At 39.9% G+C, this 18,363-nt stretch overlaps 2 long non-coding RNA genes across 2 annotated transcripts in view, besides 1 other annotated feature; one reads left to right on the forward strand and one right to left on the reverse strand.

Moving 5' to 3' along the window:
* Positions 1 to 18,363, forward strand: part of LOC105372932 (uncharacterized) — a 166,214-nt gene that overhangs the window by 22,836 nt on the left and 125,015 nt on the right. The window lies entirely within an intron of this gene.
* LINC02817 (long intergenic non-protein coding RNA 2817) lies at positions 3,089 to 9,457 on the reverse strand. Its single transcript, NR_024236.1, has 2 exons — positions 9,024 to 9,457; positions 3,089 to 7,146 (listed from the first exon to the last, which is right to left on the reverse strand). It is a non-coding gene; the product is annotated as a long intergenic non-protein coding RNA 2817 (long non-coding RNA).
* Positions 8,587 to 9,786: an enhancer, noted in NCBI's record as "MED14-independent group 3 enhancer chr1:221508768-221509967 (GRCh37/hg19 assembly coordinates)". NCBI's record gives its function as "activates an origin of replication core promoter dependent on BRD2, BRD4, P300/CBP and CDK7 cofactors, and independent of MED14, by STARR-seq in HCT116 cells {active_cell/tissue: HCT116}" and the evidence as "EXISTENCE:reporter gene assay evidence [ECO:0000049][PMID:35650434]".

An 18,363-nucleotide genomic window follows, 5' to 3' on the forward strand; every position in this document is an offset into this window, starting at 1 on the left:
ACAAACCTTTTACCATGACATGAATGCTTTTAAACCTAAGACAGGGAGAGACTGTGTAAAACCTGGCTACATGGAATAATAGGAACAATTTCCCGTGGCTTTTGGCATCATTTATTTTGAGTGTTGTTTCGCCATCTCCAAAGTGATGACCATGGTACAAGCCCCATCACATCTCACTGGGAATCCTCACACAGCCAGACCTCCTGGTCTCTCTCTTCTACTCTTGCCTCCCCATGTGCCTGCAGAGCAGCCAGAGTGAAACTTCACATCCCAGAGAAGATTGTGGAATTTCCCCATTCAAGGAAACCCCCATCTTTTTACTTTTTACTGAAATTCGTCAGTAACCCCCATCTCCTATAAGATCCTGTAGGTTATACCTTTTTCCTCTATGTTCTCATATCCTACCATTTTCTTTGATCATTGTGTTCCAACCACACTGAGCCCTTTGTTACACCTTGTATATCTAATAGTTCCCTCAGTTTGAGGACCCTAGCTTTATATATACACATGACTTCTGCTCTCCCTTAATAGGACCTCTGCTCAAATATTGCCTCTGAAAAATGTCCCTCATAGATGGCTCTGTATAACATAGCAGCCCTATCCTCTTTCCATACTCTCCCCTCAGCTTCATTTTTTTCACAGCACTAATTATATTATAATTTTTGACATTACATTATTTATTGTATGCCTATTATGAGATTATAAGATCCATGAGGGGTAGGGACTTTATTTTATTTAAAGTTATAGCCTGAGAATTGAGATCAGTCTCCAGTGCATATGGATTTGGCAATACATGTTTGTGGTGTGTCAACGCAGTAAGTTCCTAATAAGGAGAACAGCATCCTACAGAACTGTAGGTCTGGAAGTAGATGAGATTCTGAGCTCCATGATTTGGGGGCTTGCCCAGGTTGTATAGGGCTGGTGAGGGGTTGAACAAGGGCTCTGACATCCTGTCCAGTGCTCCTCTTGTTGCCTCACATTGCCTTCCTATTACCACAGCTTCTTGAAAGACTTTTGTCAGGAAAGCAGCTATTTTGGGGGAAATTAGTTTTTTTTTGTTTTTTTTTTTAAACCAGAAAATGATCTGGGGTCCAAAGTGATGCCAGTCCCATATACTGCATTACCAGGAATCCTACTCTGTCAACCTCCAACCAGTCCTTCTGAAATATGGTCATAAAATAATGGATCTGTAAACTGTTCTGGGCAATTATAGTGCTCCTGGATTGAAAGTGGGCTGTCATTAGCCATGCTTATGGACACCAGCTTGCTGCAGTTGGCTGTCAGCCAGGCTGGAAAACAGCCTTCGATTGGGAGGACACAAGTTCAATGGGATAATTAGGCAGGGTTTTGTACAAGTTTGTTGATAAAAAATGTGCTACAGATTAGCCTTTTCCCCTCTCTGTGCTGAGTTAACGATCAGACAGAACAGGTGGTAAGCTAATGGGGGAATACGAACTTAATACTTTGTTTCCTGGTCCCGCCTTTGTTGCTTTTGTGTAGAGTATGTCTTCAGAATTTTCAAACACATTCAAGCATCTTTTTCTTCCCAGTTTTATTTAGTTTAGTCTAAAATATCTGGCCCAAAGGGGTCTGAGCCATCCAGGTTTTCAAAAGGAGTTCTCCTACTTTTGTGGGAAATGCTCTAAGAATAAACATCTGGAAAATAGAACAATTACAAACAGTATGAAGTAAAAAACAAGGCTTTCAAACTAGCTGTTAAACCTCAACCACAGCAGGATCTCAGATTCCAAATGTAAGTTTGACTTTCATCTAAAAAATGTGATCCTTCTTAAGAAATAGTTCAGCCATTCATGCCTCTCTAATCACAGAGCCTCTTGTTTGGTGAGCGATGGGTTTTCAAAACGTCTATGTCCCCTACAGGTACTAAAGACTCTAAAGACCCTAGAGCTTACTTCTAGATGCCAACTGTCAGTCTAAATAATAATAATTATAATAATAATAAAAAACAAATTGTTCTCACCCTTTATTATGATGAGACTAATTTCCTTTTCCTCATTTTTGGATTTTATGAAAATGTTTCATAATGGTTTTAGAAGGACCTGGAGATTCAAGATTTCTTCTTTTATGGAAGACTCTCAACAACGAAAATTTGTCCTGTTCTCTCTCTCTCTCTCTCTCTGTGTGTGTGTGTGTGTGTGTATGTAAAACTCAGTCCAATTTCTCCTTTCTTCCATGAAGTTTACTTTTGCTATTCTAGCTTTAATCATTTCCCTCATCTTCAATCTGTGCTCATGATTTTTTACTTAATTGTACACTTGCTTAAATGGTTCTTTTTTGTGTGTGACTGTCTCATCTTCAGATGGGAAGGATATGGTATAGTTAAGAAATACAGACTTTAAGAGTGATATCAGCAGGGTTGTGGACAAGTAAGGGAGCCTTACTCCCTCATGGAACCACCAAGTAAAGAGCAACATATGGACCAACATAGCTTTATGAGAATGCTAGAAACCAGTTAAAAATCTGCAGGAAGTCAGCAAATGCCTAATCTAGTAAAAGCTACATTCAACCTGGTAGAGAATTCCATGGCATTGTTGCTCATCTTGGCTCTATCTACTGTTGGGTGCAGAGCAGAGTAGTTGGGAGAAAGTTACCCAATTCCTGGTTCGTCCCTCAGAATGGAAGAAAAATAGTGGAACTTGTTTACAACGTTCTGATGTTTCTGGAAGCAGCTCAAGGGACTGGGTTCAGTTTCATTTAACTTGGAGTGTTGATGAGAATAATGGCATAGTTTGTATATCAGTTTAGGGACTGCTGAAAGCAGTAGTGAGAGCTGCAGGGGAACTGGGTACCTGGGGCAAGAGAATACAAACAGAGGAATATAATAGGACATAAGGCCCTGAGAAGAAGCAAATGTGAGACTTATAGAGAAATTAAGAAATTTTAAGGCATATGGTGGGGGAAAAAAGGGCAGGGTGGGGAAGGAAGCACACACATAGGCCCAGGAAAGACATCCCCAGAAAAGACCTGAGACGACCTTGGGCCTTCATGCTAGGCCAAATAGCAAAAGTCTTCTTTTGCATGGAGCAAGTCCACAAAGATTGGGAGAAGTGACTGTTTTTTTTTTTTTCATGCCCAAGTTTCAATAAAAAAGACCACAAAGCATATAAAGAAATAGGTAAGCACGGCACATTCAAAGAGCCAAATAAATCTCCAGAAACTAACCCTAAAGAAACACAGTTTTCAGACTTCCTTGGCAAAGACTTTAAAACAACTGTCTTAAATATGCTTATATTCTTAAATATGAGCCAAAGAAGAACACAGGCAGATAAGTAAAGAAAATCATAAAAAAGATACATGAACAAAATGCACATATTCACAAGGAAATGGAAATTAGTCAGACCTGGTAGCTCATGCCTATAATCCCAGTACTTCAGGAAGTTGAGGTGGGAGGACTATTTGAGCCCAAGAGTTAGAGACCAGCCTGGGTAATATAGCAAAACCCTGCCTCTATTAAAAATCAAAAATTAGCTGGGCATGATGGTGTGCACCTCTAGTCCCAGCTACTAGTAGGGCTGAGGTGGGAAGGTTACCTGATGCCAGGGAAGTTGAGGCTGCAGTAAGCTAAGATTGTGCCACTGCACTCCAGCCTATGCTACAGAGTGAGACCCTGTCTCAAAACAAAGCAAAACAGAGATAAAAGTTATAAAAAAGAACCTAACAGAAATTAATTCTGGAGCTGAAAAACACGATAACTGAATTCAAACATTTACTACGGTGTATTTTTTTTTTAGACAGAGTCTCCCTTGGTTGCCCAGGCTGGAGTGCAGTGGTGTGATATCGGCTCACTGCAACCTCCACCTGCTGGGTTCAAGTGATTCTCCTGCCTTAGCCTCCCGAGTAGCTGGGACTACAGGTGCATGCCACCACACCTGGCTAATTTTTGTATTTTTAGTGGAGATGGGGTTTCACCATGTTAGTCAGGCTGGTCTTGAACTCCTGACCTCAAGTTATCCACCCACCTCAGCCTCCCAAAAATCTGGGATTGCAGGCGTGAGCCACCGCATCCAGCCTAATGTTTTAATGGCAGACTTGAATAGGCAGAAAAAAAATCCTTAACGTTAAAGAGAGATCATTTAAAATTATTGAGGCTAAGGTGCCAATAGAAAAATGAATGAAGAAAAGTAAACAGAGACTGAAAGACTATGGGATACTACCAAATGAACCAATATACTCATTATGAAGTTTTAGGAGAAGAGAGAAACAAAGAACAGAGAACTTACAGTAGTCCTCTTTTATCAATTGGGTATGTTCCAACATCCCAAATATAGTATCAAACCCTATATGTACTACTTACAAATTTCTTTTTCTTCCATCACAATTTCATGGATAGATTTACTTTTACTGTAGATCTTAGAAACCTCGCATAATTTTTTTCCTTCCTTGTGTCAAGAATTTTCAACTTTTTACTTAAAGGAAGCACTCCATGAACATTTTTTTTTTGGCATACCCAAATTTCCAGCATTACCTATATTACACTTTGGGGACTTTGTTAAGTAAACTAAGAGTTGCTTGAACAAAAGCACTGTGATACCATGACAGTCAATCTGATAACTGAGATGGCTACTAAATGACTAACAGGCAGGTAGTATATACAGTGTAGATATCCTAGACAGAGGGATGATTCATGTCCTAGGTAGAACAGAGCAGGATAGCACAAGATTTCATCATACTGCTCAGTATGGCATGTGATTTAAACTTATAAATTGCTTATTTCTGGAATTTTCATTTAATATTTTCAAACTGCTGTTGACCATTGGCAATGGAAACTGTGGAAAGTGAAACTGTGGGTGATGGTAAACTACTGTGTTTGGAGAAATAATGACCCCAAACTGCCCAAATTTGAGAAAAGACATGAATCTACAAATACAAGAAGCTCAACAAACTCCAAGTATGATAATCCAAAGAGATCCAACTAAAATATAGTCAACTGTGAGAAATCAAAGACAAAGGAAATCTTGAAAACAGAAATGGAAAAATAGCTATACAATGTGTCCTCAATAACACTATCAGCAGATTTCTCAGCAAAAACCTTGCAAATAAAAAAGTAGTGAGATAATATATTTAAAATGCTGAAAGAAAAAAAAAGTTGTGACTAAGAATTCTATATCCAGCAATACTGTCCTTCAAAAGCAAAGAATTAAAACTTCCCAGATTTAAAAAAATGCTGAGGAAATTCATTACTACTAGACCTGTTCTGTAAGGAATGTGAAAGAGAATCCCTTAAGTTAAAATGAATGGATGCTAGGCCATATAAAATTTTCTAGCGAAGGTAAAAATATGGGCAAATGTAAAAACTTTCATTATTATAATTTTGGTTTTTAACTCAACTTTTTATTCTTTTATAGAATGTAGAAGGCAAAGCATAAAAATAATTATAAATCCATGCTAATCAGTAGACAATATATCAAGGTGTAGTTTGTGATATTACAAATGCAATTTATGACACATATAACAATATGACTGAATCTTGAGGATATTATGCTAAGTGAAATAAGCCAGTTACAAATACCATTTGATTTCATTTATATGAGGTACGTAGAATTATTAAATGCATAAAGACAGAAAGTAGAATGATAGTTGCCAACAGCTGGGGATTGGAAGAAAGAGTTGTTCTTAATAGACGCAGAGCTTCAGTTTGGGAAACTTAAAAAGTTCTGAAGAAGGATTGCCCAACAATGTGAATGTACTTAACACTACTGGACTGTACATTTAAAAACAGTTAACACGGTCAACTTTATGTTATGTGTATTTTATCACAATTAAAAAAATTTTGTTAATATGGGCTTTGGAACCAGATGACCATGAATTTGCATTTCAAGTTCTTTTAACTCCTAGTGAAGTGGTGTTGTTGTCTGGGGTAAATACCCGGGTTCATTGTCTTGCATCAAGAAGATTAAGGACGTGGACATACATGAGAAGTGACTTTAGGAGCGGAATGTAATAGGCAAAAGAAAGAGAAAGGAGAACAGCTCTCTCTCTTGCGAAAGAGAGGGGCATCCAAATGGGACTTCTGGCCCACGTGGAGTGTACCAGATTTTATAGGCAGGCTGGAGGAGGCGGTGTCTGATTTATGTAGGGCCTGCAGATTGGTTGGATCAGGTGTGATGTTTACGTAGCACACAGGGAAGGCAGGCCACCCCATCGTAATCTTATTATGCAAACAGCCTTTCCACTTGGCCAGTGCCATGTTGTCTGCTCCTTACTGTACACCTGGCTGGCAAAGAGAAGAGAAGACAGAGCTGCCATTTTGAACATGCCTAGTTCCAGGTAGCCTTTTCCTGTTGGCACAACTGCAGGCATTCGCCTGTGCAAGCTTCTAGCTTGCTTGTCTATGTCTGCAGCTCGATTTTACAGGCTGCTCTTTGTTAGAAAAGAAAATGATTTTGGGGCTGCTTTTCATTAAAAGGAAAACCTTTCTGAGGACTCCAGTACCCTCACTATCTGCCTAAATAATTTCTTCTTAACTCCTATATCACTAGCTGAGTAACCTTAGGCTAATAGCCATTCACTCTGAGCCTTTTTTCCTGTAGGATAAAATAAAAATAAAGTTGCAAATGCATGTAAAACCCCTGGGGCACAGTAAAGAGAATAAACATTCTAGATGGCAACCTCTTTGATGGCAAGTCTTAATTCTAATACTACTCCAAAATGCAAGGCTAACTGTGATTTCATTTCAGGAGTGTATTTTTGCAAATGATTATGTAATCAAAGATTGAGGAACAAAAAGAAGCTGCATTAAAGTTGTGACTCAGGTGACTAGATGAAGACTGGAATGACTTTCTCACTTCTGTTACTGTGCACACATTTTAGAATAAGACAAAGTCAGTCTTCCAAAACTAACTTTTTAAAATGTTTTGGGGGTGGTGTGGGAGTGGAAAAGGGAAGGCAGCACTAAAAGGGATATATGAACACTGATATTTTCCCTCCGTGTGAACATACTTTCATAGGCTGCCCCATGGATGGCTTTGTGATACCTCACGCAGTTTCCTTTCTCATCAGCCCTTCACTTGTCCTAAGGGACAGCACCCCGCAAAAACACACTATTTCACGTAGACCTGCAGTATCCACAAAGAAAAGATGATCTGGGACGTCCTCTGATCTTGCGTGTGGAGGATCCTTTGCCAGCTTTAGAGGAAGACAAGACATAGGGAGAAAAGGTTTTTGTTGTGGTTTGTTTTTTTTACTGCGACCTGAAATCCGCCTTACCAAAACCCATTCCAGAGAACTTTAGCCTTGGCTTCAGCCAAACAGGCAATGAAGTGTAACTTTTCAGTGACTATTTCGGTTCCAAAACCCTTGTATATATGGATTTATTTGGAAAAATAAAGCCTTAAAATAGAAGTCCAAGCTTATCATGTGCAGGCCTTTTCCTGCCAACTTATAAGCAACAAACTGGTGTATTTCTTCTTCCTCTTTGAGATAGAGTACATTCCAAGAGGAAGTCGATGTCAAGTATTTGGATAAACAGCTAAGATTTGAGAACCAGCTCTCCAGCAATGGGGGAGGTTTTCTCTAATATGTCCTAAGGCTGGTGTGCTACAGGTTTGTAGCAATTATTTCTTTTTTTAAAAAGCATTTTCTTCTCATTAGGGAAAAGACTTCTTGAATGAACTAAAGGGGACAGATGGAGACTTGGAACATTGTCATCACCCTTGAGCCTCTGTAACTATGATTTCTAGGGCACTCAGGTAGTTTATTGGGCAGTCATCCGAGGGGAAACTAAACACATGTTAACATGGACTGGCAGCCCCTAGTCTAAATTCTTTCAGCCAGTGGTCCCCAACCTTTTTGGTACCAGGGATCGATTTTATTGAAGACAATTTTTTCCATGGATGAGGTTGGGTGGGGGATGGTTTCGGGATGAAACTGTTCCACCTCAGGTCCTCAGGCATTAGAGTCTCGTAAGAAGCACGTGACCTAGATCCCTGGCATGCGCAGTTCACAATAGGGTTCGCGTTCTTACGAAAATCTAATGCCGTGGCTGATCTGACAGGAGGCGAACCTCAGGCGGTAATGTTTCCTCGCCTTCCACTCACCTCCTCTGTATGGCCCGATTCCTAACAGGCTACTGACTGGTACAGGTCTGTGGCATTTGGGGACGGGGACTCCTGCTTTAAGCCATAGGGTAGCAATGCTTCATTTCCATCCAGAAAAGAGGAGAAAGCGCAAGGGATGGTTGTTGCAAAATCATGTTCCCCATCAAGGGAGTCTCTTGGAGACAGTGGAGTCACATAACCAGCATGGTGACAGCAGGAATCAAGCCAGCTCCTGAACCCAAGTAGGAAAGCAGGTGACTGAATGGCAAAAACTGCCAGATACAAATATTTTCTTTTGTGCTTCTCTGTTTTTGAAGCAGCTCATGCCCTGGGAAGATGAGGATGTCTTACAATTGTTTCCATTTAGTGATGCAGAAACTGTCACAACAATGAGTCACTGTTCTGTACAAAAGAGACCTTTGGTGGTGGAAAACTGGTGTGTGTGTGTGTGTGTGTCTGTGTGTGTGTGTGTGAGAGAGAGAGAGAGAGATTGCTCAAATTGCCATTGCCTAATCAGCCAGTAGTGATTGAATGGAGAAAGCCTTTGAACCAGATCTCAGATTCAGGGTGCTTTCATGGAGCAAAGAGAAAAAGACTGAGAAATTCACTATGGTGAGTATTGAGGTTGTACTGCAGCTCAGTCTGGAGAATTGAAGGCTCCTTCCTGAAAGGGTATGGGGACATAGAGAAAGATAGCATCAGTGGATCAAAGCTACCACATTTTTGCGGTTAGATGGAGATTACAGTAGGGAGTGACAGAGATAAAATGTTAAAAACCTCCAACATTCCAGTTTAGACACAGCCCCTCCCCTTTCTGGCCATAGTGACCGCTCTCTGGCAAGCACTGCCCAGGGAAGATAAATCAGTTAGCCAGTGGCCTAAGGGTTAGGACTTTAAAAAACAACAACAATAAAAAAACCAAGAAGTTATAAACCGTGAGTCCACAAGTGGCCCCAGGAGACTTGCCTTCTGCATTCTCTCTGTCTGCGCAGGACTGTGAGGCATCTCTGGGAAGCCATCAGCTCTCAGGGGCAGGCACAGGAAACAGCTCTTCTTGTTGGCAAAATCCAGTTCGGTGGTTTGGAACAGGGTAGACAGAGAAACAAACAAGTGTTTGTTCATAGGCTGAGACCTAGGGGGTGTATAAGGAGTAATGATCCTATCACCTAAGGAGGATGAATTCTGGGTCATTTTATGAACTGTCTTCCTTAGAAAAGCCTCCGAAGCAACTGGCAGATGAAAACTGGAAACTATTTTGAGCTGGGATCAGGGAGTCCAGGGAGCTCAGCAGACCAGGTTACTGCCACTGCCACTCACTAATTAAGCACATGGACAAATTGCTGCCTTTTCTTGGCCTCTTTTCCTCCTCATAAACAGATGAATCCAAAACTTTTCTAAATCCAAAACTCACCAGTTACTTTTCCTCTTGTCTGCTGATCTTTACTTTTTTTTTTTTTCTATGACACTGCATTTTTCCCCCCTGATGTCAGGATCCAAGAGAAAGTGAAAACCTTTCTCCTGATACGGTCAATACTGGAGAACTGGGAACAATGTCAGAATGACCGGCCACCCTGAGCCAGCCCCTTCAATGGCACTGCCCCTGGGGGCTGTTCAACATATAAACTGGGGCCATTTAACATATAAACTGAATTCAAAAGTTACTTCATGTTCTACAAAAAGAATATGTTTTATTTTTAATTTACCTTCATTTTCAAAAAAATCAAGATTCTCTCTTTAAGGTGCCCCGGGCCCTATGTGTCATGCAGTACCCATTTGCAGAAACATCTTCTGTCACCAAGAGTTTCGGAGACAGTTTTTGTAGAGTTCCAGGCCTCAGTTTCTCTCTCTGTTGCAGGGAAATAATCAGACTTACCTGCCATCAGCTGCTCTGAGGTTTTTTGTGAGCTTCTCAGCTGACAGTTTTAAAAAGTAAAAACTATCCTTATATGTGATTACGTATCTTCTCAAATAAGACTTTCTTACATCTGCAGAGACTGTTTAGTCTCTTAGTCTTTTCTAGAATTCTGGGTTACGTTTAAAACAAGCACTACGTTTTATATTAATACCAAAGCTTTGAAACCACCGTGGTTAATGACTCTACCAGCTGCTTTTTGTCGTCTTTAATAGTGACCTCTTTTTAGGAATAACTGCCACCTAATACCTTCCTCTCAAAGACTAGGTCAACAGAGAGTCATTTGGCTGATTTTTCCATCAACAAGCTAGGGGGCTGGGGGTTAGCACAAACTGGTTGTAACCATTTTATTCTTCAGCCTCTCTCTGTGCCTGTGCCTCAATATTTCTCCAATGAATGCTAGTAGCCTCAGGATGCAGTACAATGATGATACTATCCTGCCCTCCGAAGAAAAGGCACTGTTTTCCTGCCTGCTTCCCTCCAAAGCATAAACACACAAACCGTATGCTGATAGCATCATTGTTACAAATACAAGCTTGAGATATTTAAATATTTGTGTTTAGATTCCATCTTTATCCATCACTCTTTTGCCTTTGTACAATTATGAAATGCAGATATTTTCATTCAATATCAAAGCATCCATCCAGCCTCTTAGGAGAAATGCTGGCTTAGTTAGTGAAGTCAAAGCTTTTATGCCTTGAGTATTAAGCTTGCTGGGATCAATACATGGGAGCAGATCGTGGCAATTCTGGAATCTGGGACAAGCATCATCAGAGTGTGATCCCATCTTGAGTGCTCAGTGGAAGTAACTCCAAGCCAGGGGAAGTCCCACCAGAAGAAAAGGCTGACTCTAAATAAGGTGCATGTTTCCAAACTATTGGTGCCTTTTGCTCCTCTGGCTTGTGTCCTTCCCAGGGTTTTATACTCAGATACTGGAAGTGAAACTCCTTCATGTCCAGCTCACAGCTGGCTGCCATCATGGACTCATGGAACTAAATGGATCGTGGGGCCCTTGACACAACTACAACTCAGCCCTCCTCTCACTTCTATTTTTTGTTGTTTGTATGTTATGTACAATTGACTGTAAGTCATTAGCAAACACATTTATTGGTGGAACCATGTAGTATTTAAGAACATAGGCTTTGAGGTTCAAAATTTGTGCATTAAATTTTACCTCTTGTTATTTGCTAGCCTTGTGGCCACAACAAAGTCTCTTAACAGCCTAATTTTTCTCATCTGTAAGATGCTGCTAATTATGTTTACTTTATTGATTTAGTATGAAGATTCAAAGAGATAATGTATGTAAAAATGAAAGCATGATATTTGGAGAATTTTAAGCATTCATAATAATGTTTCTCATTGTTAATAATACTGATATTTTATGGTTACATAAAAGTATTAGATTTAGAAGGTGTTCCAGCCCATATGATAATGTCTTTTCTTTTTTTGTCTGAGGCTGAGAAACTAAGATATATAATAATACCAATAACCAAATTCAGAGTCTTTTTTGATCTCAATTTCAGTGACATGAACATGATTCCACCCGGAATTCTCAACAAAGTTATTTTCTGACAACTCTTGGTCAGGAGCCTGATAACTTGGAAACCATTTGATCTTTTGCATAGGGATGGTCTTTTTGTCAAACATCAAATTTAGCCCTCTTTCTTACTGTGGGATAAGTATATGCTTTCAGACTTCATGAAAATATTGTCAATCACCAAGAACAATTTTCTGGTGGAGAAAATCTAGGGAAAACATTAGCAAAAGTCTAAACTGAACTAATGGACGGTATTTAAGCATCCAAGTTTTCGTGTATTTGGTATGTAACCATTATCAAAATGAAATCTCTCATTTCGTGTTTAGAGTTTTTTCCTCCCATAACACTGCTTGAAAATTTTAAACCAAGTAGGCAACAGGAAAAAAATATTGCTTTGATACATTCTTTCTGAAAAGAGAGGTCAAATATGCAAATTAATTAATTCTTTCTTTTTTTCTTTATTTAACATCTTATGTTTTGAAGCGGGAGGGAAGCAAAAGAGAGTTTATGTGTTTAAAGGTGTGTGTATGTGTTTGTGTGCATGTGTGTGTGTGTCTGTGCATTTATGTACACATTCCCAATGGGGAAATATTCCATCTTGATGACTTGGGGCTGCACGCAAAGCACATTTACAATTAACGCCCCACCTCTACCTTTTGCCATGCTCTCACTTTCCAGAATCCATATGTTGTAACTGATATGAGGCTCCAACTGCTTTGTTGCACATGTGAATTTAATAGTGGCAAATTTAGATGAAATGGTTCAGAACTGCCCATGTATTACTTTCATCGGCAGCAAGATCATCACATTAATTCTTTTTTCAAGTTAGTGTTGAATCTAGTCCTCTTGAAATTGATGAATGACAGGGCTGGCTGCAGCCAGGCATGATGAGCACAGGTGCTCATTTGGAAGCTGGCGCCTCCAAACCCAACCCATGCCACTTAATCTCTGCATCGCATGTGTTTTCCTGATATTTAGTACTCACTCTTCCTTCAACACACAGCTTTTGGCATCTCAGCGTTAGTGTGTCTATACTGTGTATATAAATGGGTCTGAAGAGATCATGCTTCCGCGATCTCTGTTTCTAGCCCTACAGGTTGGGGGTGTCACTGGTCTGTAGTTGTGCTCTAATCACAGTTTGCAACTCTGCTCTTTCCTTTGGAGGTTAATCTAGAAGTTTTGCTTAGTTTTTCTAACAATATTTTCTCCCAGTTTGCCCCATAGAAATCATGTCTCAATGTAAGTGTAATTATTCTGCCCAGCTTGTCCATTTTAATCTCACTTTAATTCACCAAATATCAAGTGAGGGACATTCTACTACCAAGACCAGCTCTCCCCTACGAAGACCAGACTTGCAGATGTTTTTTTTTTTCATAAGCTTCATTTTGAGGTGGTCAGAGTACCAAATAGCAATGAATACTGCTTATGAAGCATATTCATACATCTTTCTATTTTGTGCGTTACAGAGGTCCTTTGGGCCTAATATTATTACTACATAATTACTATTTTACACACAAGAACCTTGTAGCTCAACAAGATTGACAAGGTTACACTGTTACTAATTCATTTGGGAGTTGAACCCAGGTCCTTCTCCTTGGAGTATGTACTGATTGTTCAGGGAGCATCATGACTGGGCTCCTGGGTTCTGCCCATAGAATACTATAGAAGCATTTATGTGGTTCCTGGTGTCTCAGGCCTTCTCTCCAAGTTTTAGGGCAAGACAGAGGTTGGTAAAGGTGGAGGAAGGACAGGCCACCAAAACTGTGCAAGCAAGCAGGGATAAAAACTGAGAGCAGAACAGAAGTTCACAGATCCAAAGAGAAATGTGATAGTTTCTAAAACCAGTGGGGCTATAAAAGGTATCAAAGATGGGAGTCAGGCTGTGAGTGAGTAGAAGAAGGTAAAAGCATTGTTGCAGGTTGCACACAAGAAGGCTGTAGTCCAGCATAGTTACTTAGAGCCAACTTAGTTGTCTAGATCCTATTATAGTTCCGGGAGTGGGAACGATTGTTAGCTCACCAGTGATTTTCTGAGCTCATATTTCCATATTGTTTTATTGATGTGGCATTGATTTAACAATTTCAGAAAAGGAATGTGGGGAGAGAGTGACTGTACCCTGGGATATCTGCTAGAGTTCATTAAGAGGTGCTGGGAAATGTGAAGAGTCACTGTTCTGATCAGTGCTCACCCTGCCATCCCGCAGTTAGATGATGTAAATGGCATATTTACCAAAGTCAGACTCTAGGCTCCACACTTACTTTTGTGGGCTCCTATAATTTTCTGGTGGTTCCCAAAGCATGGTTTTCATCAAGGGAGGGCACATTACCTAGTAGAGCTTCTGAAAAATGAATATTGTTCTCCTTGTGCCACCCAGAGTCCTGAAAGGCAGAGGATTCTCCAGGACAGATTCAAATTTTGCTTCCTTCCCTGGAGGTAAGGCTGTGATGAGCCTCCAGGTTCCTTTGAGGAGAAGTCTTCCCTACCTTGCCACCTTGGGGTCCTAGGAGAGAATGATGTGCTGCCTTCTACCCTGAAACATGGGTAATGGACTAGGGTAGGACTTCAGTACTCTGAATTGACCTCTTCTTTGATGAAAGTCTCCAACATTCCTCAAGAAAAACCAACCTAGCCATATTTGTATGAATATGTGGCTTGTTCAAATTCAACACTGATTCATTTATCTATTCATTGATTTATCAAACATTTATTAAATTCCATTGCTAGGCACAAAAGAAACCAAACCACATGAGATGATAATCTAAAAATTTCTCCTTTGATGTGCCTTGTACAGGTCTCCTGTTGTTGTTATAAAATTTACTTCTATTATGATATTCTGTCTGTCTACTCATTAAAATGTAGTGAGTATAAAGATAAACTTTTGGGCCAGGCGCAGTGACTCACGCCTGTAATCCCAGCACTTTGGGAGGCTGAGACGGGTGGATCACGAGGTCAGGAGATCGAGACCGTCCTGGCTAACACAGTGAAACCCTGTCTCTACTAAAAGTACAAAAAATTAGCTGGGCGTGGTGGCGGGTGCCTGTAGTCCCAGCTACTTGGGAGGCTGAGGTAGGAGAATGGCATGAACCTGGGAGGTGGAGCTTGCAGTGAGCCGAGATTGTGCCACTGTACTGCAGCCTGGGCGACAGAGCGAGACTCGTCTAAAAAAAAAAAAAAAGATAAACTTTTGGATTACCAGTGACTAGCACAGTGACTGTATCATAGGCGGGGCCAGGTAAATGTTGTTGGATGGAACAGAAGCAATCTCTACTATTGAGGTATTTGCTGTCTAGCACAAATATGCATGTGACGAAGGTAACTGAAAACTAAAATTAGGTATTAATTGCAGTGATGATCAGTATCCAGTCACCAGCTAGTTAAACTCTTTATCCTAAGGCAGAGAACTATCTCCTATAAGCGGGATCAGGATTTCTTGTCCTTCTGCATTCATTCAGTCCTTCAGTCATTCAATGAACATTCGTTGAAACTTTAGCAGGTACTGACTGAGACAAATCTGCTGAATCCTTTGGTGTTGGACATTTATTCCTTAACTATTGGGAAGGAAAGAACTCTCATTTTATTCTGGGAGTTCAGTACCACTTAGGACCAGTAATCTTAATAAGCAGCCTTCTGGGTAACAGAGCTCAACAAGGACATCCTCATGATCTAGGACAATAAGTTTCCAAAGCAGCCAAGGAGGCAAGGCCAGATGCCCCTGTACACTATGTATAATGAAGTATTCATTCTTTTCAAAATATTTAGAGGTATTATAATGTTATTCTAACTCACATTACCTTTAAGCTATTTTGGTGGAAAGCCCCCAAACACTTCTTAGCTTTCTTCTCTCTTTGTCTGTCATTCTCATTATTGGTCAATTGTCAAATCTTTCCATTTTTGAAATGATAAAACTTCTACTAGATTCTAGGACTCCTTCAAAGTCTTTTCTCTAAATGTTTTTGGCAAAACATGGCATCGTGATCAGGATGACCTCTTGTTCTTTCTTAAGGTTGGGCACTTATTATTCCTTGGCTTTTTCTTTTTCTAGACTCTGGCTAATCTTTGCCAATTTTTATTACATTCTCATTGCAAAAAACTAATTATTTTCTCAAGGCTCTTATAATTTGAATATCATATCTCAAATTTCATTGACAATTTTCTGATCCCAAAGCCAAATCAATTCTTCAGATATAGAAGAGAGTCAATGTCTAATTTTTAAAATGGAACTCAACAAGACAGATGTGAGACAACTTTTTGCTTTAATATGAATGTTAGTGAGAATATGCAGTGCCTTTTTTTCTTGTTGACTATCTTAGAAGTGATTGGTGCTGAGTCCTTTGGGCCGTTATGCAGGTTGGTACAAAACAAGCACTCTGTGATCACTGAAATTCGAGATGGAACCATAGAAGACAGGTGCCAGGAACTACTGAAAGGCTGAGGAGGTTGAGGTTAGGAGTGGACTCAAATGGGCCCAGGAGCTCCAGAGGATCCCAGGGAGTTCTGACTTACTCTGGAAGGATCTCAGGTGGTTCAGATGAAAACAATTCTGCCTGTGCCCTGAATATTTCAGAGCCTCTAAGTGTTCCCTTCAGAATCTCTCAACCAAGGAATTTAATTATGTCCTTGTTGTACAGCCCAGTTCCAAACCAAAACTGAAGGAGTTCAGAAGCTAGTTGCAAAGGTTTTGAAATTCAGGGTGAGGATCCTTTTGCACAATTGTGCCAAGATAGAAAGAATATGAAAGTGGAGTCAGTGGGATGAGGACAGGAGAATGTGTATGCCATGAAATCAAAATGTCATCTTAAACATATGATTGGTATAAGTGTATTGGGGAAAAAGAAAAAGAAAATAACATTTCCTAAAAGCACTTCTTTTATGTCCAGCACAATGCCAAGTCCTGTTACTGCCAACTGTGAGGGGGGTTTAGACTGGTATATTTGTCCATGTTCATCTTATTCACAGGCTTAGTTGATCAGGGAACACATGGTGCTCATTACATGCATGGGAATTGGCTATGAGGCAAAATAGTAATACTGGTTTCCTATTCTTGGTTCCTGTTGCTGCCAGAGATGAGAACTGAATTACCTGGCAGAGTTTTAGGATTTGCTTTTGTTGACCTAGAAAATGGTGATAATGGTCATTTCCTCAGTTGAGAGAGAAATGACATCTCAAAAGGCAACTGTGGCACACTGGAAATAATATGGGATTTGGCATTTGGAAGATTTTGGCTAGCATTAAATTTATGGCATTTATTAACTGTGCACATTTGTCCCAATCACCTAATCTTTCTAAGCCTTAATTTCCTCAGGTCTTAAGGGGGGATGAAAATGCCTGCCTCACAGGATCGTTGTGAGTATGAATTGAGATAAAGTACATAAAAGTACATTGCAAACTTAGCAAATCTTTATGCTGGAGTAATTTTTGTGTGTGTGCCAGGAACTCTACTAGAGGCTGCGCTCATGCATCAGTGTGGCATTGTGCGATTGGCAATACAAAGATATGTAACACAAATTGGAAAATTGGTAGAGAGCACACTCTGCTCTCAAGGAATTGGAAGTACAGTGGGGAGCTAGAAATGTAAATAAATGATTATAATTGCATGAGGTAATATATTTAGTACTGCTAAGCACACAGTGCAATAGGATTATAAAGAGATAAAATTCCTGAGCTGGGAAACAAAAGATGGATTAAATATTGCCAGGCAGACATATTTGTGGGGGTTTCAAGGGGGAGTTTGTCAAGCGCAGAGCATATCATATGTATTATTATTATTCAATATAAATTATTATCCAAGCTGTAACCACATGATCTGACTATAAATCATTTGGTCATTTTAATAAGCAAGAGGTATAATATAAAGAATTTAATCATGTCCCTTTTACACTTTTAACATAGATATTAAAAAAATAAAAACATAATGTTACATACGTGGAAACTTCTGTGCAACACAGGTATTTCTGAGTTGGATTGGAATTAGGCTGATGCAGAGAGATTTCATCTTGTAATAACATCAATACAGTGGCAAGAACAGACATCAGTTGATGTTAATGTTGATCATTTAGGCAGATGTCTCACATCTATCTAGGTATCTGCTTGTTCACTCTGGTAATCATAATTAGAGGTTCTGTACTGACCATTTGAGTGGCACAGACAATGTTCTTTGTGTCTGTGCAGGACATTGCCCTGAGAGCCTTCTCCCCTGCTCAGAAGGATCTAGGGAACACAGATCCTAATGCAAGTTATGCCTTTCTTGTTCTGAACTACTTGCGTATGCTCTGTACAATAATGGAGCAGGTCCAGATTTAACTTCACAAAATGAAAATCCAGCCTTTTCTGTTCAGTTGCCTTTGCCACGATATGAGCAAAAAGGTTAAATCCAGCTTCAGCTGAATATATACATTTGAAAGATTCCACTAGCATCTGTTCCATGTAGAAACAATAGAGCAGACCTCCACAGCCTGTTTGGGAAGCCCAATGAGCATGTGTGCAAGGGATGTCTGTGGCCACCCCCATCCACACACTGCCAGAGCTTTCCTAACCCAGAAGGACAGGGAAGAACATGTAGGTCCATCTCAGGGACTGAAATGACTCAGGGGTTTGAAATGAATGGAAATTTAGTAAATGGTGGTGAATGACTCAATGAAATCCATACTCTTTCCCATTCCCTATTGCAATCAGATCAGGAAGTTATAAAATCTATTATTTTCTAAGAATAGTGTTTGAAGTTGTCAGGAGGGTCCAGATGTGACTTCCAATTATTTATTGTCTAACTTGCCTAATTCTTCTTCACCAACAACCATTCACCATATTAAGACATTTTTAGCATTCAAAGGGACACATTAGCTTGCTGCTCAGCAAGATGA

This window comes from Homo sapiens, chromosome 1 (genome assembly GCF_000001405.40).
Source record: "Homo sapiens chromosome 1, GRCh38.p14 Primary Assembly".
NCBI lineage: Eukaryota > Metazoa > Chordata > Mammalia > Primates > Hominidae > Homo > Homo sapiens.